Below are 17,748 nucleotides of genomic sequence, written 5' to 3' on the forward strand. Positions count from 1 at the left end.
TAATTGAATCTTTCCCAGATAGGACAGAATATATGTATTTGTTCTGTTCAGAAAGATTCATCCCAGTTTAGCGGAAGAGAAAACGAAGCCTCAACACCTATAATAGCTTTTTAAATATCACAAAACTGGTGCTTATCTATCAAAGAATACTGACAATGCCATTAAAATTGTTGTTCTCTGCGCTGTATATAAATATACTGAATAATATTGGTTAATATGGGTATGCCTAGGAGCAAGTTGCTAACTTTCTTTGAATTATAGTTTCTCATGGTGTAAACCAATTCTGCTTGAATGGGTCTGCTGTCATTGGATGTGGTATAAAAATTGTGAGGAGCTTAGCATAACCATAACCTAGGGCAAACCCAAGCCCTTCTCTTAAGTAGCACGGCACTAAAGACTTATAACTTGAGTGCTTTTCAAAGGTGTGTGGAGGCTGTATCCTCTTTACTGCTCCTTCCCTGTGTTATATGTAAACAATGTTTATTTAGAAACAGAATGCTTGTTCCCTGGTGCTGCAAAGAAACAGCACTCGAACATAAATTTAACTCTCTCAGCAAGGTCATTTTTACTTTTTGCAGAAAGGGTACACTCGCCAGCAGTTTTGCCACGAGAGTACACCGAACAAAGGAGACAGGGTCATTTATAACCTGACATGTTTACTCTACTGCTGTGTCCGGTTTCCATTGGCTGGAACAGGACCACACATTCTGTATTTGTCCCGATTGGCTAGCAACTTAGAACTTTTCAAAAGAGACAAAGGCAGAGGAGAACAAAGGAAGGAGGAAGTAACTTGTTTCCACAAGTTACTTGCTGAGAAAGGTAAAAACACCTTCAAATAAGGAAGAGGAACAGGCTATGACCTAATGCGTGCTTGGACCAGTATAAGCATGCCAGGGCAAATATTTAGGCTAAATTGTGGGAACTAAGAACATAAAGTACATTGATTTCTTTATTACGGCTAGTAGATATTTAAGAATGTTAGCACAGGTCGTTTAATAAATTTTGCTTCTAGGAGACGTTACTATTTATTCCCATTTAGATGGGTAGGAAAGTTTCTTTGGAGAGAAACCTCTACTTTTTACACCTGCAAGAGCTCAGGTTGTAAGTGGCTGTATTTCTTTTTCAAAGGTCACAGCTCTTGTTGGGCGGTCTCTCCTCAGCTCCTCCATTTCCAGGATCTAGTAATTGCTCCCTCACATTTTACCTTTTTTAGGCCTAGTGGTGGGTTATGTCTTTCTATTGTCCCCAGAGCCAGGGGCCACCTGCATCACAGTATTCATTAGTTTCCCTTAACCCTACCCACAACTTTGAATATTGTTTCTTATTGCCTCTCATAGTTTACCCATTTTAGCATGCCGTGTGTTTGTTTTCTTGCTGATCTCTGATAGATAAGCATCCAGAGATGATGATATGTCTGCTATTAATTAAGGATTTGTTCGTCACTCCATATGAGTTAATAAAAGTCCAAAATATGACTTAAAATTAACAAATTTTGTATGAACTTGTGGTTGTTCCATATCTATCTAGAAACATATCTCTAGAATAGTTCTCATTTCATGTCGAGATTAAGATATTTAGTATATAGTGGCATTAACTCTTCATCTTGCCCATTAAAGGCAAAACAGATTGTTTTTTAATTATTTCTTCAAATGGAACTTCCTTTCATAAAGACAACGTGTACTGTAAGCATTCTTTACTGTTTTTTACAGCCAAGAAAAATCGACATAGTTTACACACCTATTGATTTGTCATAAGATGTCAACTAGAGAACAAAAAAAACCCAAACAGATTAATGGACAAGAGTGTTAATTGCAATGATATATAAAAAAGCCAAAATTACATAATAGCTCTAACGTAATAGCTCTGACACGCAACATAAGAAGATAAAGAATGAACTATCTATAGGTAATATTTAAAAATATATGTAGAAACCATTAAGGCATTGTTGACTCAAGGACACTGGAAGAGATGCTGGCCCAATCCAAACAGATGCTGGTTTAAAATGACTGGACTATTCTTACAAGGGGCACACCAACTCAGTATCAGTTCTACAGCAAAACCATATGACAGAATATTATGGAGCAATGTAAGTAATGATTAAGTTTTACAATGCAAAGTTAGACACCAAAAAATATCTAACTTTATTAAGGAAAAAATAAACTGTTTAGAGAAAGGATGTTTTAGCTGTGGGTGGCTTTCCCTCTGTTTTAAAATTATACTTTTAAAATTTCTTTAAATATCATGTATTTCTTTGTTAAAGATGGAAACGATGAAGCCGGGCACGGTGGCTCACGCTTGTAATCCCAGCACTTTGGGAGGCAGAGGCAGGTGGATCACCTGAGGCCAGGAGTTCGAGACCAGCCTGACCAAAATGGCGAAACCCCATCTGTACTACTAATATAAAATTAGTCAGGGATGGTGGCGCATGCCTGTCATCCCAGATACTCGGGAAGCTGAGGCAGGAGAATCGCTTGAACCCAGGAGGCGGAGATTGCAGTGAGCCAAGATTGCACAGTTGCCCTCTAGCCTGGGTGACAAGAGCAAAACTCCGTCTCAAAAAACAAAAAACAAAAAATGAAAACCATGAGTAATAAATGAAAATCAATTAACTCAGAGTGTATTAATGGAATTATATGTGTATCAAGTACAATATTTAACTAAATTATAATTGTAAAACTCCTGAATTTGGATAGAATATCTCAGAAATCTACCCCTACCAATTTTTTCATGTTAATATCACCTCTTCTAAAATCTCATCAGCTCCTAGGAAATGCCTAGATTTTAAAAAGCAACTATAACCTATGGATAGGATGGTCCCTGTGTGGCCACTAGGAAGCTGCTGGAAGAGAAAGAGAGATATAGTATATTCTGTAGCCATGTGACAAGTGTGGGACCAGAAGAGCAGTTAGTGAGGATAATTTTGCACAGCATTTGAAATTCTTACATTAAAGATACTTTGTTGGCAATCGCAGCGTTTATTTGTTTATTTGGTTTTACATATAAATAAAAATGCATTCCTAAGCATATTAAAGAGGCACTTGTATTGTTAATGTCCTACTAAAGCTAGGAAAATACAGTTTTTGGATCAGATCTAAATTTAAGTCTAGATTCTGCCACCTAGGAGCTGTAAAATCTTGTGTAAATTACTGAAAAATCTCTCTGAACCCTATTATCTATATTGATGAATGGGCATAAGAGAAACTACTTCAGGCCAGGTGCGGTGGCTCACGCCCATAATCTCAGCACTTTGGGAGGCCGAGGCACGCGGATCACCTGAGGTCAGGAGTTCGAGACCAGCCTGGCCAACGTATAGTGAAACCCCGTCTCTACTAAAAAATACAGAAATTAGCTGGGCGTGGTGGCACATGCCTGTAGTCCCAGCTACTTGGGAAGCTAAGGCAGGAGAATCGCTTGAACCAGGGAGGCGGAGGTTGCAGCGGGCAGAGATCGTGCCACTGCACTCCAGCCTGGGCAACAGAGCAAGACTCCATCTCTCAAAAAAAGAAAAGAAAAGAAGAAAAAAAAAGAAAGAAAAACTACTTCAAATGGCTTTTGGGAAGAACTAATGTGATAGTGTGTGTTGAATGCGTAGTGCCTGATAGTGCATAATTAATAAATGTTTATTCCCTTTTCTAAAATGAGGAAGTAAATAATATGGTAAATGACATTTTTTCTCTTTTTTAAATTATATTCACAAGGTAGACTTGTTTCCCTCTATATCAGTAAGCTTGTTTATTTTTAAACTGGCTCAAGGCAATTGAAGATATTTCAGATAACAGAAGTTAACCTTTCCATCCTCTTGGTATTCAAATTCTTTCTCCTTTGATAAAACTTTCAAAGAAGGTTTTCAATGTTTATTCCAAATGATTTCAAGTTGACGTTATAAGTTCAAATTAAAGTTTGAATTCAAATCCAAACTTCCTAAACTTTTCTAAGACAGTAAAATAACCATTGTTCTTTAGGCTCACGGACTTCATAGACTGTCACGTTTTATTTATTTCAGGTTTGTTGTTTGCCACAATAGACATTCTTCTCTTTGAAATAAAATAATATTTCCTCTATTTATTCCTTGAGATAACTCTAAAATTTATTCATTAAAAGAATCGTCCTTTAAGTATAATTTTGGAAAAAAAGAAACTTCCAAAGAGGAGATATTACCCCAGAAGGCTGGTTTTTTTTGTTTTTTTTTTTTTTTAAGTATTCCACTTTAAAAACTCAGGTGTTACAGTTCACTGAGCATAATGTATTGGATTTCTGGGAATTAAAGGCAATGTTATTTGACAAAGTTCTAATTAACTGGTTGTACAGTTAAAATTTTTTTCTTCAAATTTTCTCATCAGATAACCTCTCAAATATTTTCTCATCAAATAACTTCTTAGAAATGGAGGTTTTATTTTAAAAAAGACAGTGTTACATTTAATGCTAGGATTGAAATCTTCCTAAAGTGGGAGAATAAATAATAATGATGTATTTCTCTGAATGCTTTATTGATTCCACTACAATTTGTCCATGTGTTACCATGTGTTACCATACTTGGTATATTATTTCATATCCAGAGTCCATTCAGTCTTATAAGAGCTTATTAAATACATACTAATACATATCAAATTATAAATGAATCAGTGGGCATTCTACATTTTACATCGTATATATGTACATATATATCTACATATAAATGCTCAAGCATTTAGTTGTTAAGTGAACGCTTTTCATTGGCAAGAAAAACTTACTTGATGTTTAATTGGTTCAGGTTGCATCTCATGCACATACTTAAACCCGTAAATGGCAAGTGGTATGGAAGCATATAAGCGAATTAAAGTATGATTCATTTTCTGTGACAAGGGGTAGTCTCATTTCTTTACTGAAGACTACTGTGAAATTGTGAGGATGGAGATCTGAGCAAAATCAGAGTTCTATTGGAATGGACACAGGAATGAGCCTATCTGGTAGGTGATTAAGGTATCTGTTACAACTTGATACACAACAAGAAATCCAGTAATATTAATTGGTAAGACATTCTTCTAGCATCACGATATTAAATACGTCCAGAATTCCTATAAAATCTGTACATTAAGTTAATTTCTTTCAAAAATTAACTTTTGGTTCTAGAGTACTTTGATGTGTTTCCATAACTGACCTGTCAGGCCTCTGAGCCCAAGCTAAGCCATCATATCCCCTGTGACCTGCATGTATACGCCCAGATGGCCTGAAGTAACTGAAGAATCACAAAAGAAGTGAAAATGGCCTGTTCCTGCCTTAACTGATGACATTCCACCACAAAAGAAGTGGAAATGGCCTGTTCCTGCCTTAACTGATGACATTACCTTGTGAAATTCCTTCTCCTGGCTCATCCTGGCTCAAAAAGCTCCCCCACTGAGCACCTTGTGACCCCCACTCCTGCCCACCAGAGAACAACCCCTCTTTGTAATTTTCCTTTACCTACCGAAAGCTTATAAAACGGCCCCACCCCTATCTCCCTTCCCTGACTCTCTTTTCGGACTCAGCCCGCCTGCACCCAGGTGATTAAAAAGCTTTATTGCTCACACAAAGCCTGTTTGGTGGTCTCTTCACACGGACGCGACTGAAATGACCCATTAGAAAAGCATACTTACTTATGTCTTGCATTTTTTGAGCTATAATTTTTAAAAAATGTAAACTCAGAAATGTATGGAATCACTAAAAAAATTATAGAAAATGGGATCTCACAGTTATGTCTTTGTAACTCATGCACATTAAAAGCAATCCCAAATAAAAATAATGATAAATCTAGCATAATAAATCATTATTTCTTTAAATATATTTTTCCTAAGAACAGAACGATAACTCAAATTTAAGTGTTCCAAACTGATAAGTCCTCAGGGGAACACTAAAAGTGAGAGTAATTTAAAAGTAGAATATCAGTAGATTTTAGCAAAAGAAAAATTGATAGTGCTCATTAGGAATTTATATAATTTATTGAATCATAATTACACTATTGATTTACATAACAGACTCCTTTCACAGGTAAACTTTCTCCTAGAGTTTTGTCATATTTTACAAATTCTAAATGAGTTAGCCCACTTAAATGTTTGTTTCTTAAAATTTTCTAGCACAGAAAAATATGTTAATAACGTTTTAAAATAATAATGTAGTGTGTTTCTTTTGAATAAAGAGACTATCATGTAGAAACTGTCAGGCCTCTGAGCCCAAGCTAAGCCATCATATCCCCTGTGATCTGCACGTACACATCCAGATTGCCGGTTCCTGCCTTAACTGATGACATTCCACCACAAAAGAAGTGAAAATGGCCTGTTCCTGCCTTAACTGATGACATTGTCTTGTGAAATTCCTTCTCCTGGCTCATCCTGGCTCAAAAGCTCCCCCACTGAGTACCTTGTGACCCCCACTCCTGCCTGCCAGAGAACAACCCCCCTTTTTCCTTTATCTACCCAAATCCTATAAAACGGCCCCACCCCTATCTCCCTTCGCTGACTCTCTTTTCGGACTCAGCCCACCTGCACCCAGGTGAAATAAACAGCTTTATGGCTCACACAAAGCCTGTTTGGTGGTCTCTTCACACGGACGCGTATGAAAGAAACATTTAACCATTCTTAATTCAAACACAGACGCCCAAGTAAGAAAAGTGAATTTATAAAATTGGGTAAAATTCACAAGCTGAATTATTAGTTCACAAACTGAAATATCAGTAATAACCTAAAATAGTGTTTATTCTCAAAGACAATGTGAAAACTCTCATTAGGCATTAGAATCTACTTTTCAAACTCAAAAGTGAATCTCCTTGTAATTATCAGAGCTAAATATATGTAAACAAAGTAACTGATTTAGTTAAAGTGATTAAACTTTTTTCCCATTCTCCCCCAGTTAAAATGAACAGTGGCTAAAAATTATTATCTTAAAGGTTTATCCATAGTTCCAATTGCAACATTTTAAAACGTCTATTCCTACATAGACCATTGGAATAGAATAGAGAAGCCAGAAGTGAAGCCAAATACTTAAAACCAATTTACCTTCAACAAAGCATACAAAAACATAAATTGGGCAAAGGACAGCCTATTCAATAAATGGTGCTGGGAAAATGGGACAACCACATGTGGAAGAATGAAACTGGATCCCTATCTCCTACCATATACAAAAATTAGCTCAAGGAGGATTAAAGACTTAAGTCTAAGACCTGAAACCATAAAACTCCTCAAAGAAAACCTAGGAAAAACTCTCCTGGACATTGGCCTAGGTAAAGAATTTATGACCAAGACCTCAAAAGCAAATGCAACAAAAATAAAAATAAACAAATGGGATCTAAGTAAACTAAAAAGCTTCTGCACAGCAAAAGAAATAACCATCAACGTAAACAGAAAACCGACAGAATGGAAAAAAATATTTGCAAACTGCATCTGACAACTGACCAATATCTACAACCTACAAAGAACTCAAGCAAATCAGCAAGAAGAAAACAATCTCTTTAAAAAGCTTGGAAACGACAAGAATATACATTTCTCAAAAGAAGATATACAAATGATCAACAAATACATGAAAAAATACTTAACATCACTAATCATCAGGGGAATGCAAATTAAAACCACAATGAGATACTTCCTTATCTTAGCCAGAATGGCCATTATTAAAAAGTCAAAAAACAATAAACGTTGGCATGGACAAGATAAAAAGAGAACACTTATATACTGCTGGTGGAAGTGTAAATTAATACCTCTCTGGAAAACAGTATGGAGATTTCTCAAAGAACTAGAAGTAGGTATACCATTCAATCCACGAATCCTAATACTGCATATCTACCAAAATAAAAATAAGTCACTATATGAAAAAGGCACCTGCATACATATGTTTATTGCAGCACAATTCACAATCGCAAAGATATAGAATCCACCTTAGAGTGGATAAAGAAAATGTGAGATACACACACCACACACACACACACACACACACACACACCATAGAATACTACTCAGCCATATAAACAATGAAATAACGTCTTCTGCAGCAACTTGGATGGAACTGGAGGTTATTATTCTAAGTGAAGTAACTCAGAAATGGAAAATCAAATACTGTGTGTTCTCACTTATAATGGGAACTAACTTATGAGTATGCAAAGGCATACAGAGTGATATAAGGGACTTCAGAGACTCAGAAGTGGAGGGGGTGGGAATGAGGGATAAAAAACTACATATTGGGTACAACGTACACTACTCGGGTGACGGCTCAATAAAATCCCGGACTTCACCATTATACAATTCATACACGTAAGCAAAAACCACTTGAAACCCTAAAGCTATTGAAGTACAACAAAATAAAAAATAAAATGTATATTCCAATAAGAGGAAGTTTGTAGTCTTATATTCTTATTGCTCAGCAAATTGTACATTAAGGGCATATTGAATATTCCATAAAATATTTTTCACTAATTTAATTACTAGTAATCATGTAAAGCCAAAACATAAACATTCACAGGGCTTCCTGGTGATCTATTTCCTCATATTTTTTCCTCCTCATTATTTGCCTCATAATGTTTTGAACACATCCACTGTCTTCAATAAGCTTCCCTTACAACATCAAATGTGATTTCACCTATTTTCCCCTATTCACTTCCAACAGAGATTTTAGTTGGTTATCAGATCCTGTTGTGGCTGACAGGCATTAGAAATAGAAAATTATCAAGTTACTTGAGGCCATGAAATTGAGGGCCAAACACAGATTTCCAAAAAGCTTGCTGTTTTCGATATGGTTATGTCTTCAGCCCACATCCTGTCATGCTAGGGCAGTTTTCCATTTACAGAAGCAAGTGGCTGTAAGGTTTTGTGGTAGTCAGGTAGATGTCACAGCGCAAACAGGAATTAACTCAATACGTATAAAAGAGAAAGCTTTCGAAAAGAAGTTTAAGGCCGGGTGCAGTGACTCAACGCCTGTAATCCCAGCACTTTCGGAGGCAGAGGTGGGCGGATCACCTGAGGTCAGGAGTTCAAGACCAGCCTGGCCAACATGGTGAAACCCCGTCTCTACTAAAAATACAAAAATTAGCTGGCTGTGGTGGCGGATGCCTGTAATCCCAGCTACTCGGGAGGCTGAGGCAGAAGAATCTCTTTAACTCAGGAGGCGGAGGTTGCAGTGAGCCGAGATGGCATCATTGCACTCCAGCCTCGGCAACAAGAGCGAAGCTCTGTCCCCCCCCCCCCCCCAACACACACAAAAAAAACAGCAACAACAACAAAAAACAAAGTTTGTGTATAATACATGCCAAGAGGGTAGGAATAAAATACCATTTGCTGTCAAGATATATTTCTAAACAAGTTTATTAGGAAGGCAGTAGCAGATATGAAAAAAAAATAGGATAGGGCACTGGAAATAATAAATTTAAATCAGCATTTTTTTAAATTTAGAAATTCATAATCTCCAACCAACAGAACTAATACTTAAGTATAATTTCCATGGTAATGATTATTTAAAACCCCATATTGACTATGAATTTATAGATGGTGATTCCATATGCAAAAAAGCAAACTTGCATTTATAATAGAAATGAGAACAAAGCAACAGAATGTGTAATATGTTGAAGGAGTCATTAACTTTAGTGGAGGACAGTCAAGTTCCTAAAGATTCATTTATTTATTCATTCATTCAGCAAAAAAATAGAATTATTTAGTTCAGGTTATAATTCCAGATTCTTTATAAATTAATAATGACTTTAAATGCATGTGAATTTCATAGTACTGTATATTTTTTTATCTAGGAATATTTTTCCTTAAATGATACTATTCTCCGAATTTAATAAAGTACCATTTCTACTGATAGATTATGACTTTTAAAAAATTGGTTTATAATTAAGGAAAATATGAATAAAAAGGACAAGCTGATTGATTCATTAAGAGGCAAAATTATGCTAGATATTGTATCAACAATATATTGTTTTACTAACAATAAAACTAATGTTTCCATTAACTAAAATAAATAATTAGAATGACTACCATTTTTGAAATACGTAGAACAAATAACAAATTTTAGTGCATTTAATCCCTATTTTAATTTTATTAGGTTTTTTTTTCAGTTCTACTTTACATACAAGCAAACATGCTGAGCTAAGCTAATACAAAATAATACATTTTCTGTTGCTGTTGTTTGTCTTCTGTTTTTTGAGACGAAGTATCCCTCTGTCACCTGTCACCTAGGCTGTAGTGCAGTGGCATGATCTTGGCTCACTGTAACCTCTGCCTCTCGGTTTCAAGGGATTCTTTTGCCTCAGCACCCCCGAGTAGCTGGGATTAAAGGCATGTGCCACCAGGCCGGCTAATTTTTGTATTTTTAGTACAGACGGGGTTTCACTATGTTGGCCAGGCTGGCTCAAACTCCTGATCTCAGGTGATCGGACCGCCTCAGCCTGCCAAAGTGCTGGGATTACAGGCATGATCCACCGTGCTGGGCCCAGAATAACACATTTAAGAAGTGATTTTGGCTGGCCGCGGTGGCTCACCCCTGTAATCCCAGCCCTTTGTGAGGCCCAGGAGGGCGGATTACCTGAGGTCAGGAGTTTGAGACCAGCCTGGCCAACATGGTGAAACCTCGTCTCTACTACAAATACAAAAAATTATCCAGGCATGGTGGAGGGCCAACTACTCATGAGGCTGAGGCAGGAGAATTGCTTGAACCTGGGAGGTGGAGGTTGCAGTGAGCCGAGATCGCGCCGTTGCACTCCAGCCTGGGCAACAAGAGTGAAACTCCGTTTCGGAAAAAAAAAAAAAAAGAAGAAGAGAGAGAAGTGATTTAAACCTAAGTCTGTTCAATTTTAAAACTTGTAATCTTAAATAAAAATTATATTTAGAATTATAGTATCAATTTTATTGGCCAGTTAAAATTTTAATAAAGTAGATATATATGCAATTTGTACTATCAGCTATAGATGGCTTGTTTGACCACATTTTAATGTGTTACATATTTTCATTTAGTATAGTTCATCCTGGAATATTAAGTTCCCTAGATCAACCACTTTTTAATATATACTCATGCTATTGTTTTGAAAATTAGAGATAACTGTTTAGCTTTAACATAAGGCTTTAGACTGGTTAACTAGTAGTGTCCATTCAGGTCCCTGCTGGTTTCTGTTTGAAATCAAGGCCAATAATAACGGTCTTAAAGAGGATTATTGGAAAAGTTAAGATGTGAACCTTCTTGCTCAACAAAGAATGCAAGCAAAATTGTCTTAATCTAGAACAGTTTGAAAACACTATCTTAGTCTATTAGTGTATTTTTTCAGTCCGGTTTGTTTCTTCTGCTTCTTTAAATCATAGTTGTTTTTCTGGATGAACTTCATTATAATCTGGAAATTCACATTGACATTTCTCCCAGAAAGCCAAATAAAGCACACATTTAGAAAGCCTAAGTACAGCATCTAAAGCTTCCTTGACCATTATAACTGAATAACAGCCGTGTAGTGTAGTGCTAAAAAAAAAAAATTATTCCAGTTACATGGTTCAGTCTCTTGAGATTTACAGGTAGCCAATTATGGCCCACAGGCCAGACAAGTGACTGATCGTTGTCTGAAAACAACGACGAAGTGGGGAGGTGAAAAAGATTTACGGTTTTTTTTCCCCTTACAGGTAGATGTTGTTTGAAATAATGAGATTTAAAACGCTAATGCAGAGCTTTGATCTCTTCTTTGATGTTTCTTGCCTGTTGTCTATATGAAATATAGTCAGTTAAAATAAAAAGCCAGAGAATAGTTTCTACTCACTAATGATTAATAAAAACTGCTTGGCAAATGCAATCTTGCACATTGACAAATGAAAACAGAATAGGATGCCCAACAATGGTTTAAAAAAAAAAAAGGTTTTTTTGTTTGTTTCTTTGTTTGTTTACATTGCCACAGTACACTGCTCTTTGTTCCCTGACCCTGCAAGCTCTCACCGGGTGACTTCGACTTTGCACCTACTTTTCTCTTTTTTAGAATGCCCTCTCTCACATGTTACCACTAGAGAAACAATCACGTGTGCTTCAAGGCCAAATCAAAAATTTCCTCTTCAGTCCTTTGGACTGAGAGAGTTATGCCCAATTTCACAGCATATGGTACAAGCCTCTGTTATTTTTCTGTACCATGGTATTATATGTACTTGCCTGTGTCTCTTCTAGATATGGGGTCCTTAACTATTTTTGTGCTATGGATCCCTTTGGCATCTGGTGAAGCATATGGAACACTTCCCAGACTGTTTTCAAATGTGCAAAATGAAAACTAAAAGCATATAAAAAACAAAGGAAATTAATTATATTGCAATTGTAAAATACTGAATATAATACTATTATATGCTATTAATACATTAGTTATAAGCATAATAATTAATACAAATTAAAAGTAGTGATTAGTATACTAACCACTGGTATATATTAACATATGATTTTTCAAGATATCCAAAACAACTAGGATTTGATATAAAAATATTGGTAATAAATTCACAGATATTGCTAATACCGTTCTGTGTTGCTTATCTTCATAAAGGGAAAGAAATGCAAATTTTCAGTTACAGGTTAGTGAAAATAAAGATGTAATTTTTTTCCTATCATGGTTCATGGACCCCAGATTAAGGACACTGTATTTTGACTGTATGGCTTCAAGGGCAGAGTTTTTATTTGTTCATCTTTGTGTCTTTAGTACAGAACAGAACCATGGGCACAATCCAAGCCTATTGAATGGTGGCCGAATTGTGTATTGAACGTTCAAATGTCAGTTCTATCACTGCCCTTATCACATCACAAGAGAGAAATTTGATGTTCATTAAAATTAATAATTTTAAAAAACATTTTAATTAAAATATTTATTATAATTAAAATCTGATAAACTTGTCAATGGGTATGATACGTGGCACTGTGTATATTCTTTTGCTTATACACAGATGCTTGAAAATTAAAATTAAAAAGCTACTGCAACTAAGCACTCAGCAATTGTCATATTTTTCTCCACTTTTCCCTAAGTCAATAGGCAACCATGAAGTTGACAATGTTGCTGATAACATTGTCATACTCAACATCATTTCCCACAAAGCTTAAACCTCTACAGAAACTCAGCAGTCCCTACAACACATCCTTGAAGAATGAGAGGGGTGTCAATAATTTCAGCTGCTCAAATGGAAGGCTCTGACATCAAGGAATATTAAGTGGCACATTGAAGGGAATTCTACTATTAAGTAATGAAGGTGAGGAAAACAATTTCTCAATCCACGGTTATTTCTTTGTTATACTAAGAACCGTGCCCAATACTTATGGAACAAAATAAGCCTATCATTTGGACGTCTCCTATCAGCCTGAAGCCTGATGTCATATAAACCAATAATCTGTGATTGAATTTTTCAGCTTTCAGTGTTTTATTTTTAGCATAATATTTGGTATTGCCATACGTGACTTATTATTCTGTTCAATTTAATCAAATTAGAGAATAAACAAAACGACAAACATAATTTCTCTTAATGTGCGTGTGTGTTTTTCTTTTTTGAGACGAAGTTTCATTCTTGTTGCCCAGGCTCGATTCGAGTGCGATGGCATAGTGTTGGCTCACTGCAACCTCTGCCTCTGGGGTTCAAGGGATTCTCCTGACTCAGCCTCCCAAGTAACTGGGATTACAGGTGCCTGCCACCACGCCCGGCTGATTTTTTTTCTATTTTTAGTAGAGACCGGGGTTTCACCATGTTGGCCAGGCTGGTCTCAAACTCCTGACCTCAAGTGATTCACCTGCCTCGGCCTCCCAAAGTGCTGGGATTACAGGCGTGAGCCAGCATGCTTGGCTTAATGTGTTTTAATGACATAATTCCAACAACCATATAACTATATTAGTACAAAAAGCAACTACATGAAATAAAAATCTCAATTGTTTGCCAAATGGATACAAATAATATATATTACATATATTATATATAACATGCATATAATAAAATACACAGTAGTCTGCCTCTTATCCATGGTTTTGGTTACCCATGATCAACTGCAGTCCAAAAATAGATGAGTACAGTACAATAAGATATTTTGAGAGATAGAGACCACATTCACATAACTTTTATCACAGTATATTGTTATAATTGTTCTAATATTAGTTATTGTTGTTAATCTCTTATGGTTCCTAATGTATATATTAAACTTTGTTATATGTGTATGTATATAAGAAACATAATATATACATAAGGTTTGGTATTATCCACAGTTTCAGGCATCCACCAGGGGTCTTAGAACACGTATCCCTACAGATAAGGGGAGATTAATTATTTCTACCATTACAGAATTAAAATGAGTCTGTGTTAATCTTCCTATTCAAAAATTATTTCTAATTCAGAGAAATTCAAAGAGAGTCTATAACGCTATGCGGTTTATTGACATTAAAGACATTAATAGTTAATTGCTTGAAGAAGAAAATAGACTTTTTCAGTAATAATAACAAATTTGCAGCATAATTGGAAGTGTACCGTCCTATCCCCCTTTGAACTATAAAATAATATTTTGGTAAAATATGGTGAAGGATCCTTACAGTGTATCTTGATCATAGTCCTCCTGAGTTATAATTATCTACATTATTATACTAAAATTGTGGCTCTTCCTCATAAGATATTAATATATTCACTATATGAAATTAACTAATTGCATAGCTCCAATAAAATATTAACTTATTCAACTGTTAAAGTAAGAATATCGGCCAGGCGCGGTGGCTCGTGCCTGTAATCCCAGCACTTTGGGAGGCTGACACAGGAGAATCACTTGAACCTGGGAGGCAGAGGTTGCAGTGAGCCAAGACTGCGCCATTGCACTCCAGTTTGGGCAACAGTGAGACTCCATCTCAAAAAAATAAATAAAATAAATAAAGTAAAAATATTAATTGCATACAAAAAAGAAATATGCTGGATACCGTCCATTGTATTAGCAATTTCAAGGCTAAACATTACTTTTTTTTTTTTTTTTGAGATGGAATTTTGCTCTTGTCGCCCAGGCTGGAGTGCAGCGGCTCAATCTCGGCTCACTGCGACCTCTGCCTCCCAAGTTCAAGAGATTCTCCTGCCTCAGCCTCCCTAGTAGCTGGAATAACAGGCGCCCGCCACCATGCCTGGCTAATTTTCTTTGTATTTTTAGTAGAGACGGGGTTTCACCATGTTGGCCAGGCTGGTCTCAAACTCCTGACCTCAGGTGATCCGCACGCCTCAGCCGCCCAAAGTGCTGGGATTACAGGCATGAGCCACCGTGCCCGGCCTCAACATTACTTTCGATCTCAAGACTGGAAGTGCAGTACTCAACAAAGTAATTGGGGAAAAAAATAGTTTTTGATGTAAAAATTTTAGAGTTCTTGATCTTTGAATGAAGTTGGTCTCCCAATAAATTTCAAACGAATAAGAAACATTAGATTTGTTTCCTTCTGGCTCTAGTATATAGGAAAGACATTTGCAAAGCAGGTATTCCAAAATATGAGGCAAAATCATCATTCTTGCCCCCCCCCCCAAAAAAATCTTCTAGCAACTGTTGTAACACAGAGCCATTATAATGTAATTAGACAGACTAAGAACCAGATGCTAAGGAAGCAAAATATAAAAGATGAAGCATGATATTATTTTGGTTAATGAATTTAATTCCAAATGTTACAGGAGTGATTCATGGACTTTTTTTTTCCCAAAAGATCAGTTGTCACATGTACATATTGCATTTTAACATGATGTTTATGTAATCTAATGAGAAAAGTAAATTCTCATGTAATATTAGATGTTTCGAAATGGATAAACTGCAGACACTTCCACGGGTAGATGAATAATTCGTCAATAGTGATAAGTTAATCTTTAAACTTACCCCTCAAAATGGTTAAGAGTTAGGTTATACTATAAATGTAATATAATTCCATAAAAATAACCAAGACAAAAAATACTTTAGAAATATTGAAAATATAATATTTGTTTTCCTCTAATATCCTCAATCTGGTATTATTGTGTAATTCGAATATATGGCAATATTATTATTATTTTTTTTTTTTTTTGAGACAGAATCTCACTTTTTTGCCCAGGCTGGAGTGCAGTGGCATGTTCTTGGCTTACTGCAGCCTCCACCTCCCGGGTTCAAGCGATTCTCCTGTCTCAGCCTCCCGAGTAGCTGAGATTACAGATGCCCACCACCACGCCTGGCTAAATTTTGTATTTTTAGTAGAGACGGGGTTTCACCATGTTGGCCAGGCTGGTCTCGAACTCCTGACCTCAGGTGATCCGCCTGCCTCAGACTCCCAAAGTGCTGATATTACAGGTGTGAGCCACCACCGTGCCCGGCCAGCAAAATAATTCTTAAAATTCAACTTAAAAATTACTCCAAGAAATGTGTAGGTAAAAGTCAAAACACTTTAGTAAATCCACATTTTGTATTTCCATTTATAGTAACCTCTAGTGCTCATTATTTTGAAGATAAAACTTTCTTATACAGTAAGCTTTTTAAAATGTGAGACCAAATCAAACAACAAGAGCGTAATGAAAAACGATAGAAGGAAAACAACTAAAATAAGAACCTCCTAGCTCAGATTTATTCTAAAAAGTTGAAAATAAATATAATGTAGAAGTTATTATTATGAAAACATAAATAATAATATTTTTTCATAGATAGTAACACTAGCTTTACTCTGAAAGTAGAATCTGTGCTTCATTAATAGTGCCTGTGTTTAACACTTTGATAACTCACCATACAGAAGTATAGCCTCAGTGTTCCCAGATTCCTGTTCCTAGGGATGAATGATCACATTAGGAAGGTACATTCCTGTTAATTTGGCTAAATCTGCCAGCCCAAATCATAAAGTTCTCCTAAAGATGCTCTATCTCAAGAGCAAACACTTAGGAAAATTGTTAATGTTTATAACAAGGCAATCAACATCTCATTTAAATATTCAGAAATTGATCCTTCCACTTCATACTTTCAGTTAGGATGAGCATTGAAAACATGTAGTAAAGCACAACCTCAGCATTCATAATGAATATGATAAGAACAAGCCTTTTCTCATTCATGTTTACTACCAAACATCTGTTGAATAAACTACTTAATCCTTACAAACATAACCAGATTATTTTCAGCAACAATACAAACTCTATAGTGATAACAGCTGGTCCTTTACTTTCTTCAGGGATATACACTCCACATATATTTCATTTCTTCTCAAGTTAAGTGACAAAAAGCTAAAATGGATTGTGATGCAGTCAAAGCCACGAATGACACAGTTTTCTACCATAGACAAGGGGATAATTTTTTTTTTCTTTCAATGTAAGCCACAAGTGTAATGGGGGGATCTCCTAAACGAAAGGCATTATGGTAGGGGGAGGTTCCTTTTCAAGACCACGCCTAAACTACTGATAAATATGATAAATATATGGTTGTAAAAGACAACATTTCTTTTTTTTTTTTTCGAGATGGAGTCTCGCTCTGTGGCCCAGGCTGGAGCTCAGTGGCGTGGTCTCGGCTCACTGCAAGCTCCGCCTCCTGGGTTCACGCCATTCTCCTGCCTCAGCCTCCTGAGTAGCTGGGACTACAGGCGCCCGCAACCACGCCCGGCTAATTTTTTGTATTTTTAGTAGATACGGGGTTTGTATCACTGTGTTAGCCAGGATGGTCTCGATCTCCTGACCTCGTGATCCGCCGGCCTCCCAAAGTGCTGGGATTACAGGCGTGAGCCACTGCGCCCGGCCAAAAGAAAACGTTTCTATGAACACAGTATTACTTATACAATATTTAAAAACATATTATTTGATGCTCAATGTTTTA

At 36.3% G+C, this 17,748-nt stretch overlaps 1 protein-coding gene across 17 annotated transcripts in view, besides 3 other annotated features; it reads right to left on the reverse strand.

Annotated features, from left to right (window-relative positions):
- DMD (dystrophin) overlaps positions 1-17,748 on the reverse strand; it is a 2,220,167-nt gene that overhangs the window by 1,978,915 nt on the left and 223,504 nt on the right.
- Positions 5,162-5,756: an enhancer, noted in NCBI's record as "OCT4-NANOG-H3K27ac hESC enhancer chrX:33121415-33122009 (GRCh37/hg19 assembly coordinates)". NCBI's record gives its function as "activates a minimal SCP1, AML or CMV promoter by ChIP-STARR-seq in primed H9 embryonic stem cells {active_cell/tissue: H9 hESC(primed)}" and the evidence as "EXISTENCE:reporter gene assay evidence [ECO:0000049][PMID:30033119]".
- Positions 5,757-6,351: an enhancer, noted in NCBI's record as "OCT4-NANOG-H3K27ac hESC enhancer chrX:33122010-33122604 (GRCh37/hg19 assembly coordinates)". NCBI's record gives its function as "activates a minimal SCP1, AML or CMV promoter by ChIP-STARR-seq in naive H9 embryonic stem cells {active_cell/tissue: H9 hESC(naive)}" and the evidence as "EXISTENCE:reporter gene assay evidence [ECO:0000049][PMID:30033119]".
- Positions 6,352-6,946: an enhancer, noted in NCBI's record as "OCT4-NANOG-H3K27ac hESC enhancer chrX:33122605-33123199 (GRCh37/hg19 assembly coordinates)". NCBI's record gives its function as "activates a minimal SCP1, AML or CMV promoter by ChIP-STARR-seq in naive H9 embryonic stem cells {active_cell/tissue: H9 hESC(naive)}" and the evidence as "EXISTENCE:reporter gene assay evidence [ECO:0000049][PMID:30033119]".

The sequence above is a fragment of the Homo sapiens genome, chromosome X (assembly GCF_000001405.40).
Source record: "Homo sapiens chromosome X, GRCh38.p14 Primary Assembly".
NCBI lineage: Eukaryota > Metazoa > Chordata > Mammalia > Primates > Hominidae > Homo > Homo sapiens.